This window comes from Homo sapiens, chromosome 13 (assembly GCF_000001405.40).
Source record: "Homo sapiens chromosome 13, GRCh38.p14 Primary Assembly".
Classification (NCBI taxonomy): Eukaryota; Metazoa; Chordata; class Mammalia; order Primates; family Hominidae; genus Homo; species Homo sapiens.
Genome location: NC_000013.11, coordinates 23,547,471 through 23,565,119, shown reverse-complemented (window position 1 = coordinate 23,565,119; position 17,649 = coordinate 23,547,471). Strand labels below are relative to the sequence as shown.

General features: G+C 41.8%; 2 annotated features.

Annotated features, from left to right (window-relative positions):
- Window positions 2,986-3,215: an enhancer, noted in NCBI's record as "active region_7458". NCBI's record gives its function as "activates an Ori minimal core promoter by ATAC-STARR-seq in GM12878 lymphoblastoid cells {active_cell/tissue: GM12878}" and the evidence as "EXISTENCE:reporter gene assay evidence [ECO:0000049][PMID:35858748]".
- Window positions 4,446-4,625: an enhancer, noted in NCBI's record as "active region_7457". NCBI's record gives its function as "activates an Ori minimal core promoter by ATAC-STARR-seq in GM12878 lymphoblastoid cells {active_cell/tissue: GM12878}" and the evidence as "EXISTENCE:reporter gene assay evidence [ECO:0000049][PMID:35858748]".

Genomic DNA, 17,649 nt, shown 5'->3' with positions numbered 1-17,649 from the left:
TTGAGCAGCTACTACAGAGATTTCCCATACATTCCCTGTGCCCCACTCAGCTTCCCCTAGTATTTGCATCTTGCATCACTGTGATATATTTGTAATAATTAATGAATCAATATAGGTGCATTATTAACTAGAGTTCATAGTTTACACTAAAATTCATTCTTTCTGCATATACTTCTATGGATTTTTTTTTTTTTTTTTTTTTAGATAGAGTCTTGCTCTGTCACCCAGGCTGGAGTGCAGTGGCGTGATCTTGGCTCACTGCAACCTCTGCCTCCCAGGTTCAAGCGATTCTCCTGCCTCAGCCTCCCGAGTAGCTGGGATTACAGGTGTGAGCCACCACTCTCAGCTAATTTTTGTATTTTTAGTAGAGATGGGGTTTTGCCATGTTGGCCAGGATGGTCTTGAACTCCTGACCTCAAGTGATCTGCCTGCCTTGGCCTCCCAAAGTGCTGATGTGAGCCACCGCACCTAGCCAGACTTCTATGGATTTTGCCTAATATATAATAACATGTGTTCACCATTACAGTTTTGTACAGAGTAGTTTCACTGCTGTAAAAATCCCCTGTGCTCCACCTATTCATCCCTCCTTCCCCTAGAGCCCCTGGCAACCACTGATGTTTCTAAAGTCTCTATAGTTTTGCCTTTTCCATAATGTTATATAGGTAGAATTATATGGTATGTAGTCTTTTCTGATTGGCTTCTTTCTTAGCAGTATGCATTTAACTTTCTTCTATGACTTGCTGTGACTTGATAGCTCGTTTCTTTTTATTGTTAAGTATTCCATTGTCTGTATATAGTTTATCATTCACCTATTGAAGGACATCTTGGTTGCTTCCAGTTTTTGTGATTATGAATGAAGCTTCTATAAACATTCATGTGTAGGTTTTTGTGAGACTATAAGTTTTCCCTAGGAGCATGATTGCTGGATCATGTGGTAAGACTGCAGTTAACTTTTAAAGAAACTGCCAAACTGTCCTCCAGAGTGACAACAACATTTTGCATTTCCACCAGCAATGAATGGCAGTTCCTGTTGCCCTGCAGCCTTGTCAGCATTTTGGGTTATCAGTTGCTGTTGATGATGTTTTTAATTTTAGCCACACTAATAGGTGTGTAGTGGTATCTGTTTTAATTTGTAATTCCCTAATGATGTATGGTGTTGGGCATATTTTCATATGCTTATTTATCATCTTATATCTTCTTTGGTGAGGTGCCTGTTCAGATCTTTTGCACATTTTAAAACTGGGTAGTATGTTTTTTTATTATTGAGTTTTAAGAGTTCTTTGTACATTTTGGATACAAGTTCCATATCAGATATGTGTTCTATAATACTTTCTCCCAGTCTGTGGCTTGTCTTTCTAGTCCCTCAGCACTGTTAGCTTCAATTCTTAAAGGTCCCTCAGGCAAAATTGGAAATTAGAAATACTTATCCAAATTACCAGCTAATAGAGCAGCTAGTGATTTAAACAATCTGTCAAATCCAGAAGGTGCCAAAGAAGCAAACTGTCTGTGAATCGGGCAAAACTATCTGTTACATGGTGGTTCTGATACTGACAACAACAGCAACTACCACAACAAGGACAAGTTAATTCAGCAGATACACACATGCACACCCTGCATCAGTGATGGAAAGGGTGCTTTATGCTGGAAACTGCCGCAGACCATCCAACTGCACCCAGCTGCCTTCTGCTCTCCAACTTTTCATAAGTGACTCCAAGTCACTCTTACCTGCCATATTGCCCTCTAAATACTTTACTGAGCCCAGGCTAGTTTTCAGAGAAGCTATCCAACTCATGTCTTATAATTAATCAAATGTTTTCCATTTCCTTTTCTGCCTCCTCAGCATTTATCCTGATTAATATACCAGGCTAATTACGAATCTTGGTTCTCAGTAGAGTTTGATAATGCTAACAAAAACTGTTGGTGAAACAGCAGGAAAATGCAAAAGGAGGCACTAAGAAACATCTTCAGAATAATACTACCACTACCAAAAAAAGATCTGCGCTTCATCAGGAAGTAAGTTAGATAAAGACAGGCACGCTCTTAAAAATTGATTCAAGAAATGCCTATCTAAATAAAGTCAAAACATTTAATAATGCAACCACCCATCCAATGGAAGGGCACCCAGCACATAGTTGGGGCATTAAATACACAGAATAGTTAGAGTAACTGGTGAAAATCAGGAACCCACAAAATCTATTTTGGAGGAAAAAGGGAAAATAAAGTGGTCCTGCTAAATAAAATTGAACTGTAGTGTCAGGAGGTAATATAGATGGAGAATCCTTCAATTTCAGAGAATGAGAAATAAGAGAATGTTTACAAATACAGCTTATAGTATATTTTGAAAAGAAAATTCCTAAGGCCAAATTAGATTTTTTTTCTCCTCTAATACACGATAGAAAATAAAGGCAGTTTTAACTGTGTCAGAAATCCTATTTGGCACCATACTCAGCTTATCATAAAATTGCTTTGTAAAAACTTTTTGTTTTGAGATAATTTTAGATTAAAGAGGAATTGCAAAAGTAGTAGAGGACGTTCTCATATATCCTCCACCCAACTTCTTTGTATGTGAACAGGTTACATAATTATAGAACAATTGTCAAAATACTAATCTTGGTACAATACTGTCAATTAAACTACAGAATCTATTCAGAAGATTTACAGTGAACCATTCTATGGGTTTTGACAAATGCACAGTCATGTGTCCATCACCATGGTTCCATCACCCCCAAATCTCCTCATTCTGTCTCCCTTTATATTCAACTCCTCCCCACCTTTGTTTGTTTTAAGATGGAGTCTCGCTCTGTTGCCTAGGCTGGAGTGCAGTGGCACAATCTCAGCTCACTGCAACCTCTGCCTCCAGGGTTCAAGCGATTCTCCTGCCTTAGCCTCCTGGGTAGCTGGGATTACAAATGCCCGCCACAATGCCCGGCTAATTTTTGTATTTTCAGTAGAGATGGGGTTTCACCGTATTGGCTAAGCTGGTCTTGAGCTCCTGACCTCAGGTGATCCACCCACCTCGGCCTCCCAAAGTGCTGGAATTACAAGAGTGAGCCACTGCGCCTGGCCTCCTCCCCACCTTTCTAACCTCTGGAAACCACTGCTCTGTTTTCTCTCCCTGTTGTTTTGGTCTCCCTGTGTCAGATTGCTAAGTCATATATGTGAAAGATATAGGTTGTTTTATGAGAATCTTCTGAGCTGTTTTCCAAAGTGGCTGCACCATTTTGCGTTCCTTCCAGTTATATATGGTATTCTTTCTTCCTCAGGTATCAGATTATTATAAAGCATATACTATGGCACAGTTGCTATTTCTCATCAGCAGAAATTGACTACTTATGGAACATTCTTAAGTTTATCAAGGTTACTTCCTATCTGCTGCCTGAGTCTCAGAGTTTAGTTTATATTTATTTTCCAGCTTTATAGGTAATTGAAAAGCAAGTAAGAGATACATATATTATTGGATGTAAATATAAGAAATTTTATGAGAGGAAACTGTTTTAGTCAACTTTTTACCTTCCAGTGTCCTAGTTAGGTAGGCAGATGGCCTCTCACATGGGGTGGCCTTGGCTTGAATTCCAGTACTTATGTGTGAACTTCTGAGTATGAGTAAGTTACTTGAAACTTCAGCTTTCTTGTTTCTAAAATGGGGATGATAAGAGTACCTACACCGAGGGTTCTTGTGAACACCAGAATAGTACTGACATGCAGTAAGCATGGAACACACTTTAACTCTCAGCTATTTAAAGTGTTGCTAAAAAAAATAGCCTTGTCATCTTTGATTGTAGCAGGTGAGAAAAAATTGTTTCCCATCGGAAGAGAAAGTCTCTGTAATTCTGTTTTTTCTAAGCATTTCTCGTGTTGAAACAAAAAAGATATTTTGCATTTTGGCAAACAACATGTTTCATAGCATTTGAAAGTGGAATTTCACTTTCAAATCAAAAGTTTGACTTTGAAAAAAATTATGTAAAATTAAATAGTTAAAGCAAGAAGCAAAAGCCTTATTCTCTATACATATGAGAAATCCGAAGTGTGTTAGGACGTTTTTCAGAGGGAATATTTTGTTCATGTTAAAATTCATTGTTACATATACACCATTCTTTAGATGAAGGTATGAAATTACAATTGAGATTCTCTCAAAATAGAGAGAGAGTACAAAGTTCAGTGGTTGACAGGGACCTTCTTACACAGGTATAGCTAGACAGTAAGCGAGTCTTCCACTATCGCAGGGGCAGGGAGCCCCAAAAGACAGAAGGATGTTTGGTGCTTGGTCCTTCAAGAGTACATGAGCCAGGGGTGTAGCAGAGGCAGGCATCTCCATGGAGACAGGAGGAGCACCTGGGAACACAGGAGAGGTGGTCTGTGTGTGGTGGGGCGGGGACAGTGTTGGGCAGGGCAACATTTTGTGATTCTGCTCTCCTGGAGTGGTGCGGCCTTCCTAAAGACAGAGCAGAGACCCGAGGAGCTGGGGAGACACAGGACTTCTTGCACTATGTCTAAGGGGGGGGTCATCTTGAAGGGCCGGTTGTGAAACAGGTGAATGGTAAATATCAACGAGCAAAAGATGGCGGAAGTCTCGCTGGTGAAGTCAGGAGAGTGATTAAAGGGGAAGAGCCCCAAGGCCCACTATACATGGGACTCCGGCAGGAGAGGCTGTGTGGGCAGAAGCAGAAGGTGTCCAGCCCTGCCTTGAATGTCTTGATGATATGACAGCTTATTTGGGGTCTCTAAGAGGCTGAGGATACTGGGGAACTCTCAGTTTCCACACGGTATTCTGCTTGACTAGCTGCCCTTTGCCGGGTGCTCTGCAGGCTCTTAATCAACTCCCCCAGTTCACAGGCCGGGAAACCAGGGGTCAGAAAGGCTATGTCACTTTCCAAGGTCATGTGGCTGAAATTGACCTCAGGCCTGTATGACTCTAGATCATACTATTTCACTATTATCTTCTGTTAATTAAATCAAATATATTTCTAAAAGGGTGTTTTAGTTTTCACAAGCACAGAGCTCTGCCACTGAAGTGTTAATGGCCTCTGTAAATTGCCCTGGGCTTCTTGGGCCACAGAAATCGGCTACAGGAGGCTTATGGACTCCCCCTTTTAAAAATGTTTAATTTCGAAGGCTGAGGCAGGAAGATTGCTTGAGGCCAGGAATTTGAGACCCCGAACTCTACCCAAAAAAAGTGGTGAGTGCCTGTAGTGCGTGGTGAGTGTTTGTAGTCCCAGCTACTTGGGAGGTTGAGGCAGGAGGATCTCTTGAGCCCAAGAGGTTGAGGCCGCAGTGAGCTGAGATTGTGCCACTGCACTCCAGCCCAGGCAACAAAGCAAGACATATCCAAAAAAAAAAAAAAAAAAAAAACCACGGTTTAAGGTTTAATTTCAAGCATTTTTTTCTTTTTTTGTGATTACAAAACAGCATATTTTATTATAGAAAATTGAACGATTACGGAAAAACAAAGTAAAAAAATTACCAATCTCACCCACAATTCTAATTTTCTTCTTTAAAAAAAATTATGTAAATTTAAATAGTTAAAGCAAGAAGCAAAAGCCTTATTTTGCGCCCAGAGGTAACCCCTGTCAACAGCTGTTGAACACACTTCCAGACAAATATTCTTTGGATTTGAGAACACGAGCATAGCTCAGCAACTCCTGCCGCAGCAGTTCTTCCTTACTGGCAAATACTGGAGAGAGGGAGGTAGCCGTGCTGTGCTTTCTGCCAAGGGTGTTCTTTCTCTCTTATTTATTTAACCTTCTCGTTGGTATCTTAAGTGCTACTTCAGTGTGATATTTAATACGTGAAATGCGTTTCTGCTGCTTTATCTCACAATTGTATCTATGTGCAAAGCTTTATGAAACAAATACCTCTGACAATCACCCCCTTTGTTGGGAATGTCTCTGACACTGGGGGAGAAATTGCAAAATAAGATGCTGTCCTCAAATGAGGTTCCTAAGAAGAAAGGTCTCTTGTGTTGGAACTAGAATAGAAATTGCACCATTTCCTCTCTAAAGGTCTAGCATGAAAAGAGAAACATGACTCAGAGATCAGCACATCAGAGCAGGAGTCTGTAAGAAAAAGTCAAAGGACATGCGCACAGAGAAGGCGAGCGCCTTCCTCCTCCCGACTGTTCCAATCCCATAGCACACGTCCACGCCGCTGAGCCAAGAGGGACATCTCCTCAGTGTATCTGTGCCGGTGTGTGCACACCCCTCACAGGCACCTCACACATACCACACATCCACAGACATGCAAACACAACATATACACATTTCACACACATACACACCTCACATACACCTCACACACACCACACACCACACACACCACTCACACACATACACATACAAATACACCATATACACATTTCACACACATAGCACACCTCACATACACTTCACACATAACACACACCACACACTACTCACACACATACACATACAAATACACCATATACACATTTCACACACATAACACACACACACCACACACCTCACATATATACACATACAAATACACCATATACATATTTCACACACATACACACCTCACACACATACACACCTCACACACATACACTTCACACACACACCACACCATATACACATTTCACACATATACTCACCTCACACACCACACTCACCTCACACACATACACACACACCATATACATATTTCACACATATACACACCTCACACACACACCACAGGCACTCCTCACACACCACACACCTCACACACATACAAATACAAACACACCACATAAACATTTCACACACATACACACATTCACACGCATACATACGCAAATACCTCCAACACATACACACACCTCACACACACCACACACCTCCCACATCTCACACCTCAACCCCCCACACACCTCGCACACACACCACACACACCTCACCCCTCACACACACACACCTCACACACATACACACACACCCCTCAAACACATACACATACAAACACACCACATACATATTTCACACACATATACACCTCACACATACACACCACACACTTCACACACCCCATACTTCACACAGACACACACCTCACACACCACACACATACCTCCCATACCACACACATGTATGCGAACACACCTCACACATACACCACAAATGCACCTCACACAGACCTCACAAACATACACCACACACCTCACACACTATACACACCTCACACACCACAAACACACCTCACACACCACACACACAAATAGACCACATACACATCTCACATATACACACACACCTCACACACACACAAACCACACACAGACACATCCAGACCACACACGCCACACACAAACCCACACACCTCACATATATATACACACACCCCACACACACCATGCAGACATGTAACACACCCACCTCACACACAAACACACCATACACATGCTACACAAACTCACACTAGTGTCTCCTTGTTTCTAACAGCAAAATCAAGCCATCGAGTCACCTTCAGAGTACTTAGCCTCTGTGCTGGAGGGTTTTCAGTGTTTGCATGCCTTCTGATGTCAATATTTTTAGATGATTGTTGTTAAGGTATAAATGATTTCTTTACACGTGACAGTGCAGCCTGAGCTCTCACCTTGGGATAAAGTCTCCAATTTAATTCACTGGATACATGCACACACATACCACATACCACATACACACTTCACACCCCACACCCCATGCATCACACATGTACACACCACACAAATACCACACAGAAACACACCACGCACATCACACAAACACTTCATATACCTCACACATGCACACACACACCTCTCACAGACACACGTGCACACATCTCATACAGACACCCCCTATACACCCCACACATGCACACACACCTCACACTATACACACATGCTACACAAAGACACGCTCCACACAAACATGCCACACACACCACACACACACAACTCACACACACATCTCACATAAACACACACTTCACACACCACACACGTACAAATGCCTTACACAGAAACACACACCTCACAGACACCTATCCCTCACACACTTCATACAGACGTATACAGTCACACACACAACACACACACCCCTCACTCACACACTATACACACCTCACACAGGTACACATACCACACGTGCCATACACACACTCAAGCACATGGACACTTTTTTTAAACAGGTGCTTATAATATCCTCTACTATATTGTTTTATAACCTACTTCTGTAGATTAAAGATATCAGAATGCTAGCATATTTCTTTATTGGTAGACATTATTTCCAACCGGTTATGGTGAACGACATCATAGTTCATACCTTTGTTGAGTGTGCTAATATTTATACAGGGAAAATTCCTACAAGATTGCTCGGTTTGATGGTGTGCACATTTGAAATGATATGGCACTTCCACTCTACTCTCAAAAAGGTCGGATCAGTGGATGATATTGCCAGCAGTGTGTGAAATGAAAACACGTTGTGGACGCAAAACCTCACCTTTGCTAGCATTGAATTTTATCAGTATTTTCAAATCCTTGTCAATTAAATAGGTGAAAATATTATCTCATTGTTTTAATTTGATTAATATTATTTTAATTTGAATTCTTTATTAGATTATAAGTGAAGTTAGACAATTTTTCAAATATTGACTGGCCATTTGTATTTCCACTATTACGATTTCCTATCTCTTTTTCTATTATTTAGCATGTTCTGACTGATTCGAAACAATTTTATTTATTTATTTGAGACAGAGTTTCATTCTTTTGCCCAGGCTGGAGTGAAGTGGCGCCATCTCGGCTCACAGCAACTTCTATCCCCCGGGTTCAAGCGATTCTCCTGCCTCAGCCTCCCTAGTAGCTGGGATTATAGGTGCCCGCCACCACGCCCGCTAGTTTTTGTATTTTTAGTAGAGATGGGGTTTTGCCGTGTTGGACAGGCTGGTCTCGAACTCCTGACCTCAGGTGATCCACCCACCTCAGCTTCCCAAACTGCTAGGATTATAGCACCCGGCTGATATTTATGTTTTAAGTAATAATGTAGATCTCATATATTTGCAAATATTGTCTCCCAATCTGCTGCTTGCATTTTAAGCTTGTGTGTGTGTGTGTGTGTGTGTGTGTATGTATATAACACAATCAATCAAATAGATTATTCTTGGCTCATGGTCTACTATTGTTCACGTACAGACTTTTTTTTCCCTGATTTGTTTTATTTGTTGTATTGTATTATATTGTATTTTACTTCATTTTGTTTTTCCTTCCATTCTCATGTTGAATTTTGTTTTCCATTCCCTTCCCCCAGTATTACTCATGTGCATTTTACATTTCTTTTTCCCCTAATTTCTGGATTTTGTGTTAGGATTAGGAAAGCCAGGACTTCTCTGAACTGGAGTCTCCTTGTCGGTAACAGCAAAATCAAGCCATCAAGTCACCTTCAGAGTACTTCATTTATGTGCTGGAGGGTTTTCAGTGTTTGTATGTCTTCTGATGTCATTTTTAGATGATTGTTTTTAAGGTATAAATGATTTATTTACACGTGACAGTGCAGCCTGAACTCTCACCTTGAGATAAAGTCTCCAATTTAATTCAGAAGTGCACTAGCTCATCACCTTTCCTAAGAGGGCAAACAAGCATTTCCTTCACCATGCCCCAAAGTCTCAGCCCCTTTGAATCCATTTTCCTTATGGTCACCATTAAGAATCATCTAAAATCTCCCACAAGATCCTGTCATTCCCTTTACCTATAGGGTGGAGCCCACACTTGCTTACACAGGGGCATGTCGTCTCCCCTCCACTGAGCCTCCAGCCTGGTTCCTTTGCAACTCTGAGCTTTGTATTCCACAAACCCTATATTGTTTCTCAACGTGCACCCAATGCCTCGCACAGTGCCCAACACAGGGAATACCTAAGGGTGGCATGTACTAGGCACCAAAAGAGCATTTGTTGAATGAATAAACAAGCGAGTGTGGATGCATGCATTTAGTTCCCTGTGTGCTGGCCTCTCCTCTGTGCCTTCCTGGCACTGCTTCATCCAACACCTCCTGACCCCCACGTCTCCTTGCTCTCCTTCCTGCCCAATTCTGTCCCATCCTTCAAGTCCTCCACATATGAGGAGCTGGTGATGCACAGGGGATTGCATATTTGTCATACATTGACAGCGAGATTATAAATTGGTACAGGACAATGTGGCTGTATTTTTGCATTCTAGTCTTGGGAATGCAACCTACATGTGCAAGGGTAATTAAGAAGACTGTCTTTATTTTTTTTTTTCCCAGAGACAAGGTCTTGCTCTGTTGCCCAGACTGGAGTGCAGTAGTGCAATCATGGCTCACTACAGCCTTGACCTCAAGCAATCCTCCCACCTCAGCTTCTGGAGTAGCTAGGACTACAGGTGTGAGCCACCACACCTGGCTGACTTTTTATTTTAGTGTCAGAATCTTGCTATGTTGCCCAAGCTGGTCTCAAACTCCTGGGCTCAAGCAATCCACCCACCTCTGCCTTCCAGGTAGCTGGATTATAGGAGTGAACCACCATGCCCAGCCATCCATTTCAACATTATGTGTGTATTCACCTTTGCTCTCAGTAGAGAAACTTGGAGATTAGAGAAAAAAATATCGCTCATGGTGCCATTTGCCCTGATGGCTCATGCAGAGGAGTTCTCAGCTAACTAACGTGGGGACTTCATGATGGAAATTCGGCCAGGAGAGAGCCTGGTGCACCTTTGACTCAGTTCAGCCAAGGTGATTGTTTTGTAAGGAGTACAGTCTGGGTCAAAGTGACAGAAGACGTGGGGTTGATAACAAATTCCTCATGTAGATTAATGGTAAGTTATGTTTTCTTTAGGTACTTGGGGGATTAATCAGCCTTAGCTTCACTGGTGGAGAGACAAGCCATGCCTGTTTGTGTCCCTCCCCCTTCCTTGGCACAAGGGCTTGTGCATTTTCCAGAGACACCAGCATGACACAGAGAGAGGGAGGCTGCACTGAGTCATCATCTGTGTCCTCCAGGGTGGGGCTGATGCTCCTGAGAAAGGTGCGGACAGGGGAAGGGAGGACTAGGGGAGGAGAGGAGGCATCAGGGATACCTATCCAGAATGTCCTCCGAAGGACCAAACAGAAAGACATGGACCCTCTTGTGTGGAACAACAGAGGGAACACACAAACGAACAACTCTTTTTTTTTGAGACGGAGTTTCACTCTTGTTGCCCAGGCTGGAGTGCAATGGCGCAATCTCAGCTCACTGCAACCTCTGCCTCCCAGGTGGAAGCGATTCTCCTGCCTCGGCCTCCTGAATAGCTGGGATTACAGGCATGCGCCACCATGCCTGGCTAATTTTGTATTTTTAGTAGAGACAGGGTTTCTCCACGTTGGTCAGACTGGTCTCGAACTCCTGACCTCAGGTGATCCACCCACCTCAGCCTCCCAAAGTGCTAGGATTACAGACGTGAGCCACCACACCCAGCCACGAACAACTCTTGACCGCCACACCCCTCCATTTCCTCCCCTTTCTTGCCTTTAACACTGAAACACTTTAGGGTACTTAAAATGCCTCCTTAGTCTTTCAGGGGAAGTATTACTCAGGTACTCTGGAGGCCAATGTGTATTTGATCAGAAGAAGGTCTTAGGATCATACTGTTTTTTTTGGAAACAGCATGGGCCCTCATCCATGGTTTTCTGAAAAGCACCAGGCAGCCTGCTGTAGACCACCGGGTGAAGAGTGTGCTGGCCAGTGGAGGATCCCAGACCCCAGCGGCTAAATGGACGACCTCAATGACCCATCCCCATGTTCCCTGGGGGACAGGCAGATAGCCCCACTGGGACCAAAATGAGAGGAGAGGCTGTCTTCCAGATTACGTTAGCAATTAATAAAAATTAGAAACAACCTAATTGTCTAAAAGCCGAGAACAGTTAAATTGCAGAAATACATACTGTGTAGCTATTTTAAAAAATGAACTGGTTACGTAGGAAGGATGTGTATTTTTTTGAGTCTTTTAAAAAGGCAAGTTGCATGACAATATGTATGATATAAACCCATTAAAAACTCTATAGGAATATTTATTATGTATTTGTATATATATGGAGAGAAGTAGGACAGAAGGATGCTTAACAACCGAAAAAAAAAGACTGATCTGGAAGCTTTCCCTAACCTCACCAGGGTAAGGTGCCTCTTTCCTCTGTTTTTTGAATGCTCTATCATACACTTAACCTTGCTACACCATCACACCTACAGGACAGCCCTATAAATTGGTTTGTGTTGCCACTTTGCACATTAGACCCTGAGCTCTTTGAAGGCAGGAGCCATGTCCTATTCATCTTTGTATCACTTCTATCTAGCTCAGTGCTGGGGACCAAATAGGGAGTGAACAGAGCATAAGTCCAGGAGGTGAGATACACAATTCATTACCGTAAGATGCAGCTCACACACCACAATCATCTTGTCACTTGGAAATGTTTAGGTGTGAAAGGAAAATAAAATCTCAGGACCCAAAACTCACTATGCCAAAGGGAAAAGTGAAGATTGGCAACTGAATCATATAAAACTGCCTTCCTTTTGTTCCTAAACAGAGAGCGGTAATCATAGAAGACCACCTATCTACTCAGGTGGGCTCCCTCACAAATTGCTCACAAGAATTCCCTGTGGGCTTGCAAATCTTTCAGAATACATACCCCTCCCATGAACCAACCCCAAACAGGGTTCTGTTGAATATCATCCTGACAGTGTAAATTAACAGCTTATCTTTACATGTACAGGACAAAGACAAGACTAGAAATCAACTCTCTGCCCGCCAAAAGCATATTTGACTTCTTCCTCTACTCTGTGTTTACTTTATCCTATGTAAAGTGCAGATTTACCTAGCTTGGGATGAATGCATTATTGACAGTTCCTCTACTCCCTCTTTTCACATGTAAAATGTGGATTCAGTGAGCCCCATCAAAGCCCCACAAGAATGTAACTTTTGCTTCATTATCTAATCTTTCCTCTTTTTTTCCTTTCCTCCTTCCCCTCCTACCCACTCTTTCCCCTTTAAATGGTGAAGTCCTCACAACCCTCTTTGGAAAAAACACAGGCCACAGATCCTATTGTAACTTGTGTCTCTTTTTCCTGGGCATGTGTTCAATCTTGGCAAAATAAATCTCTAAATTAAATGAGACCTGTCTCAGTCACTTTTTGGTTTACATAGGTAAAGAAGAAATAACCATAGTTTAATTTTTGGTAAAATGTTTTGTTTAGTAAGAGTGTCTCCAAACTATGTTTAGCATGGTTCTTGACAGCTCAGGAGCTTCCTGTTTCAGATTCAGGCATGCCCCGTCGGAGGCTTGATCTAACTGGAGAATTTGTATTGAGCAGAGCTGTTCATTCATGTGTAGGGGAGCAGAGCTGTTCATTCCTGTGTGGGGGAGCAGCCTCCCCTCTCAGCCCAAGCATCTCATTGTATGAAAGGCAACAGATGGGTTGACTTTTGCTCAGGCCTTGCTATAAGGCCTTTACCATTAACAAACCTAGTTTAGAATTTTAAGTAAATCCATCCTAAGCAATAATAAAAGTGTGAGACTTTGGAAATCCAGCCAAGGAAAAAAAAAAAGTCCTAAAATTTGTTTGTCATAGCTTTTAGGAAAAAAAGAGAAATGGAAACTACTGCATTTTTTAAAAAATGAAAAAGGATTCCTCTGTAAGCTGAGGTAGGAGGATCACTTGAGCCCAGGAGTTTGAGGCTGCAATGAACTGTGATTGCACCACTGCACTTCAGCCTGGGCAACTGAGCGAGACACTGTCTCTAAAGGAACAGAAAGGTAATGCTACCTGATAATAATCAACCCCACTTCGGTGAGAACCTAGGTTTTAGTCTCTGCTCTGTTTTGTGCATTTTGCAGAAGTCTCTGGCTCATGCATTTTGTAGAAGTCACCTAGCCTCTCTGATCAGAGTGGATCACCTCAAGCTTGCCTCTGTTTCTTAAAATTCATGATTCTAAACTCTGTACTCCTGGATTAACAAATGTGCTGCATATGGAACACATAAAGTGACAACAACTGTTCAAATGCTTTTCTGTTTGCAAATTTCTTTCTTTTTTTTTTGAGACGGAGTCTCGCTCTGTCATCCAGGCTGGAGTGCAGTCGCACGATCTCGGCTCACTGCAAGCTCTGCCTCTGGGTTCATGCCATTCTTCTGCCTCAGGCTTCTGAGTAGCTGGGACTACAGGCGCCCGCCACCACACCCGGCTAATTTTTTGTATTTTTTAGTAGAGACGGGGTTTCACTGTCTTAGCCAGGATGGTCTCGATCTCCTGACCTCATGATCTGCCCGCCTCAGCCTCCCGAAGTGCTGGGATTACAGGTGTAAGCCACCACGCCCGGCTTCTGTTTGCAAATTTCTATCTTAGCTTTGCTACATAAATCATATTCTTCCAAAAAGTAGGCATACTGTCATTGATGGGACCCCTAAAGATGTTAAAGAATTTGGGTAACGGGTAGAAGGAGGTGAGTTGTTAAGTACTGAATGATGGGCTAATAGAGGCAAGAAAGACGTAAGACACAGCGATCTGCAAATAGAAATTGTTCAAGGTTACTTTCTGCTAGGGGTACAGTGGATCTAATGCTTCACATTGTGTAATTTTGCAGAAACCTCAGTAGTTCTTTGCTGGAAATAGATCCTGATCTTCTGGCTACATTGTTCATTCTTTGGTGTTACCTTTACTGTTTCACATTATGTCACCTCCAAGCAGGCAAAATTGGGCTTGCCTTCCTCCCTGTTAACACCTTTTAAATATTTGTAGACTCTTATCAAGTACCAGGTATCCCCTCTCCACCAATTCTTGACCTGCACTGCCAGGTCTTTTGATCTTAATGCACAAGTCATTCCTTTGATCATTTTGGTGCCTTGTTCTGGATCCTCTCAACTATATCAACTTATTTCTGTTAGCAAATATTGCTCTGAGCATTCCAACTGGAGTCTCTGGAGAAGCAGATTCCAGAGAGAACATTTTTTTTAGTGTTCCGTGATGTAAACTCTGGAAGATCCGAGCCAACTCAAGACTTTCTTTTTGACTATAACTAAAGTTATTTCAAACTTACAGTTAAATAAGTAGCCCTTCAAGTTCCTGTCAATAATAAAATGTGGGACAGCAATAATAAAATGTGTTCCTATCAATAATAAAACATAGGATACCTATGGGTTAACAGAAAGGGCCCTCTGTTATCATCTTTGGATGATGAATTTGTCTTCACCCTCTTCTGATTTGCTTTACTGGAGCCAGCCACATATCTCAATTGAAACAGATAAGTTTTAAAATATAAATAGCATTGGGAGAGTGTTACTCTGAACATTTTCATTCCCCTAAATCCAAATGCCAAAGCCCTAAGCCCCAATGTGATGAAAAAAAAAAAAAACCTATTTTTGCTGCTATAACAGAATACCTGAGACTGGGTAATTTATAATTAACAAAAATTTATTTGGCTCATGGTTCTGGAGGCTGGGAAGTCCAAGATCAAGATCAAGGGGCCTGCTTCTTGTGAAGAACTTCTTGCTATATCATCCCATGGTGGAAGGCAGATGGGCATGAGAACATGGGTGCACATGAGACAGACAAGCTCACTTTTATAGGAAATCCACTCTCTCTCAATAACAAACCCACTCCAGTGATAATGACATTAATCCATTCATGGGGGCAGAGACCTCAAGACGTAATCACCTCTTGAAGGTCCCACTTTTCAACACTGTTGCAATAAGAATTACATTTCCAACACATGAACACTGAGGGGCACATTAAAACCCCTAGCTGAGTGTATCTGATGATGGGACCTTTGAGAAGTAATTAGGTTTAGATGTGGTCATGAAGGTGGGTCCTCATTATGGGATTTGTGCTCTTACAAGTAAAAGGCACTAGAGAATTGGCTCACTCTCTCTCCTGGTGAGACTCCAAAGATGTCATGTGAGCACAAACCAATATGGCAGCTGCCTCAAGCCAGGTAGAGACCCTCACCAGGAACCAAACCTGTGGCATCTTGATCTCAGACTTCCTAGCCTCCAGAACTGTGAGAAATAAATTTCTGTTGTCTAAGCCACCTACTTTCTGGTATTGTGTTATGGCACCTCAAGCTGACAAATACAGGGAGGACACATTGACCTAAATTTGGATCAAAACATAACTACTCTAACCGTACATATAATTCCTAAGATAAGTTTTTAATTTTGATGACTAGAATTAGAAAATAAACCATAGAAAGGGGAAAAGGGCTGGGAGAAAGTTGCAAAAAGAGGAGTAGGAAAGCTGAAGATACATAGTGTATATTTCTTTTTCTTTTCCTTTTCTTTCTTTTCTTTCTTTTTTTTTTTTTTTGAGACGGAGAGTCTTGCTCTGTTGCACAGGCTGGAGTGTAGTGGCGCGATCTCAGCTCACTGCAACCTCTGCCTCCCAGGTTCAAGCAGATTCTCCTGCCTCAGCCTCCTGAGTAGCTGGGACTACAGGTGCCCACCATCACGCCCAGCTAATTTTTTGTATTTTTTAGTAGAGACGGGTTTTCACTGTGTTAGCCAGGATGGTCTTGATCTCCTGACCTTGTGATCCACCCGCCTCGGCCTCCCAAAGTGCTGGGATTACAGGCGTGAGTCACTGCACCCGGCCATATTGTATAATTTCATAATTTGTCTCAGGGCCAGCCCTGACCTTAGGGCACCCTTAGGGACAGATCAATCCCTTATACAAATTGGTAGCTATGCTCAGCATCTCAACCCGGCGTGGCACAACAGATGGCCAGTGAAAACTGGCTGAATAAATAAATGACTAATTTTTAGTAAGAACGACTTATGTATCAGACTTGGTCCCCTTGATTTTGTCATTCTTCAGTTCTTTTTTCTAAGATATGTCTTATTTTATAGTGTGTTACTTTTATTTTTCTCCTTTATAATTTCTTTGACTTTACTCTACAAATCTATTTGTTTTTAATGATGTTTCTCAATTTCATGTGAAAATTTCACTAGCTTATCTAGCTGTTTTCCATTCAAAACAGACATATTGGATAGGGTACAAAAAATAGAAAGAATGAATAAGAACTCCTATTTGATAGCACAACGGGTTATTATTGACTATAGTCAAATGTACTTAATTATACATTTAAAAATAACGAAAAGAGTGCAACTGGATTGTTTGTAACACAAAGATAAATGCTTGAGGGGATGGACACCCCATTCTCCATGATGTGATTATTATGCATTGTGCCTGTATCAAAACATCCCCTCATGTACCCCATAAATATATACACCTACTATGTACCCACAAAAATTTTTAAAAATCTAAAAATTAAAAAAAAAACCTGGATATTATTCAGAATTGTTCTATCTTCATCAAGACCAAATTTCCTACTCCCTGGAGCGCAGCTCTTTGCATCACAAGCCGTATCAAAACACAGCATCTTAATTCCCATGAAATAAACGCAAGGGAAACCGGAGATCTCTTAAGAAATTTTCATCAGGAGAATAGAGCTTTGTAGATTAAATCAACCCCTTTCAGTTACCTTCGAAAGTAAAATAGAAAACTTCTGTTAGAGGTCAGAGAAATCAGAATCCGGCAATGCAGACAGTGCTACTTGAGGCTGTTGTTGAAGTTTGTGCCTGAGATGCAAAGAAATTCCCAAAGGAATTTTCCAACTGGAAACTGCTGGAAACAAAAGACAGACTGTTTTGGCGTCATCCGCCAT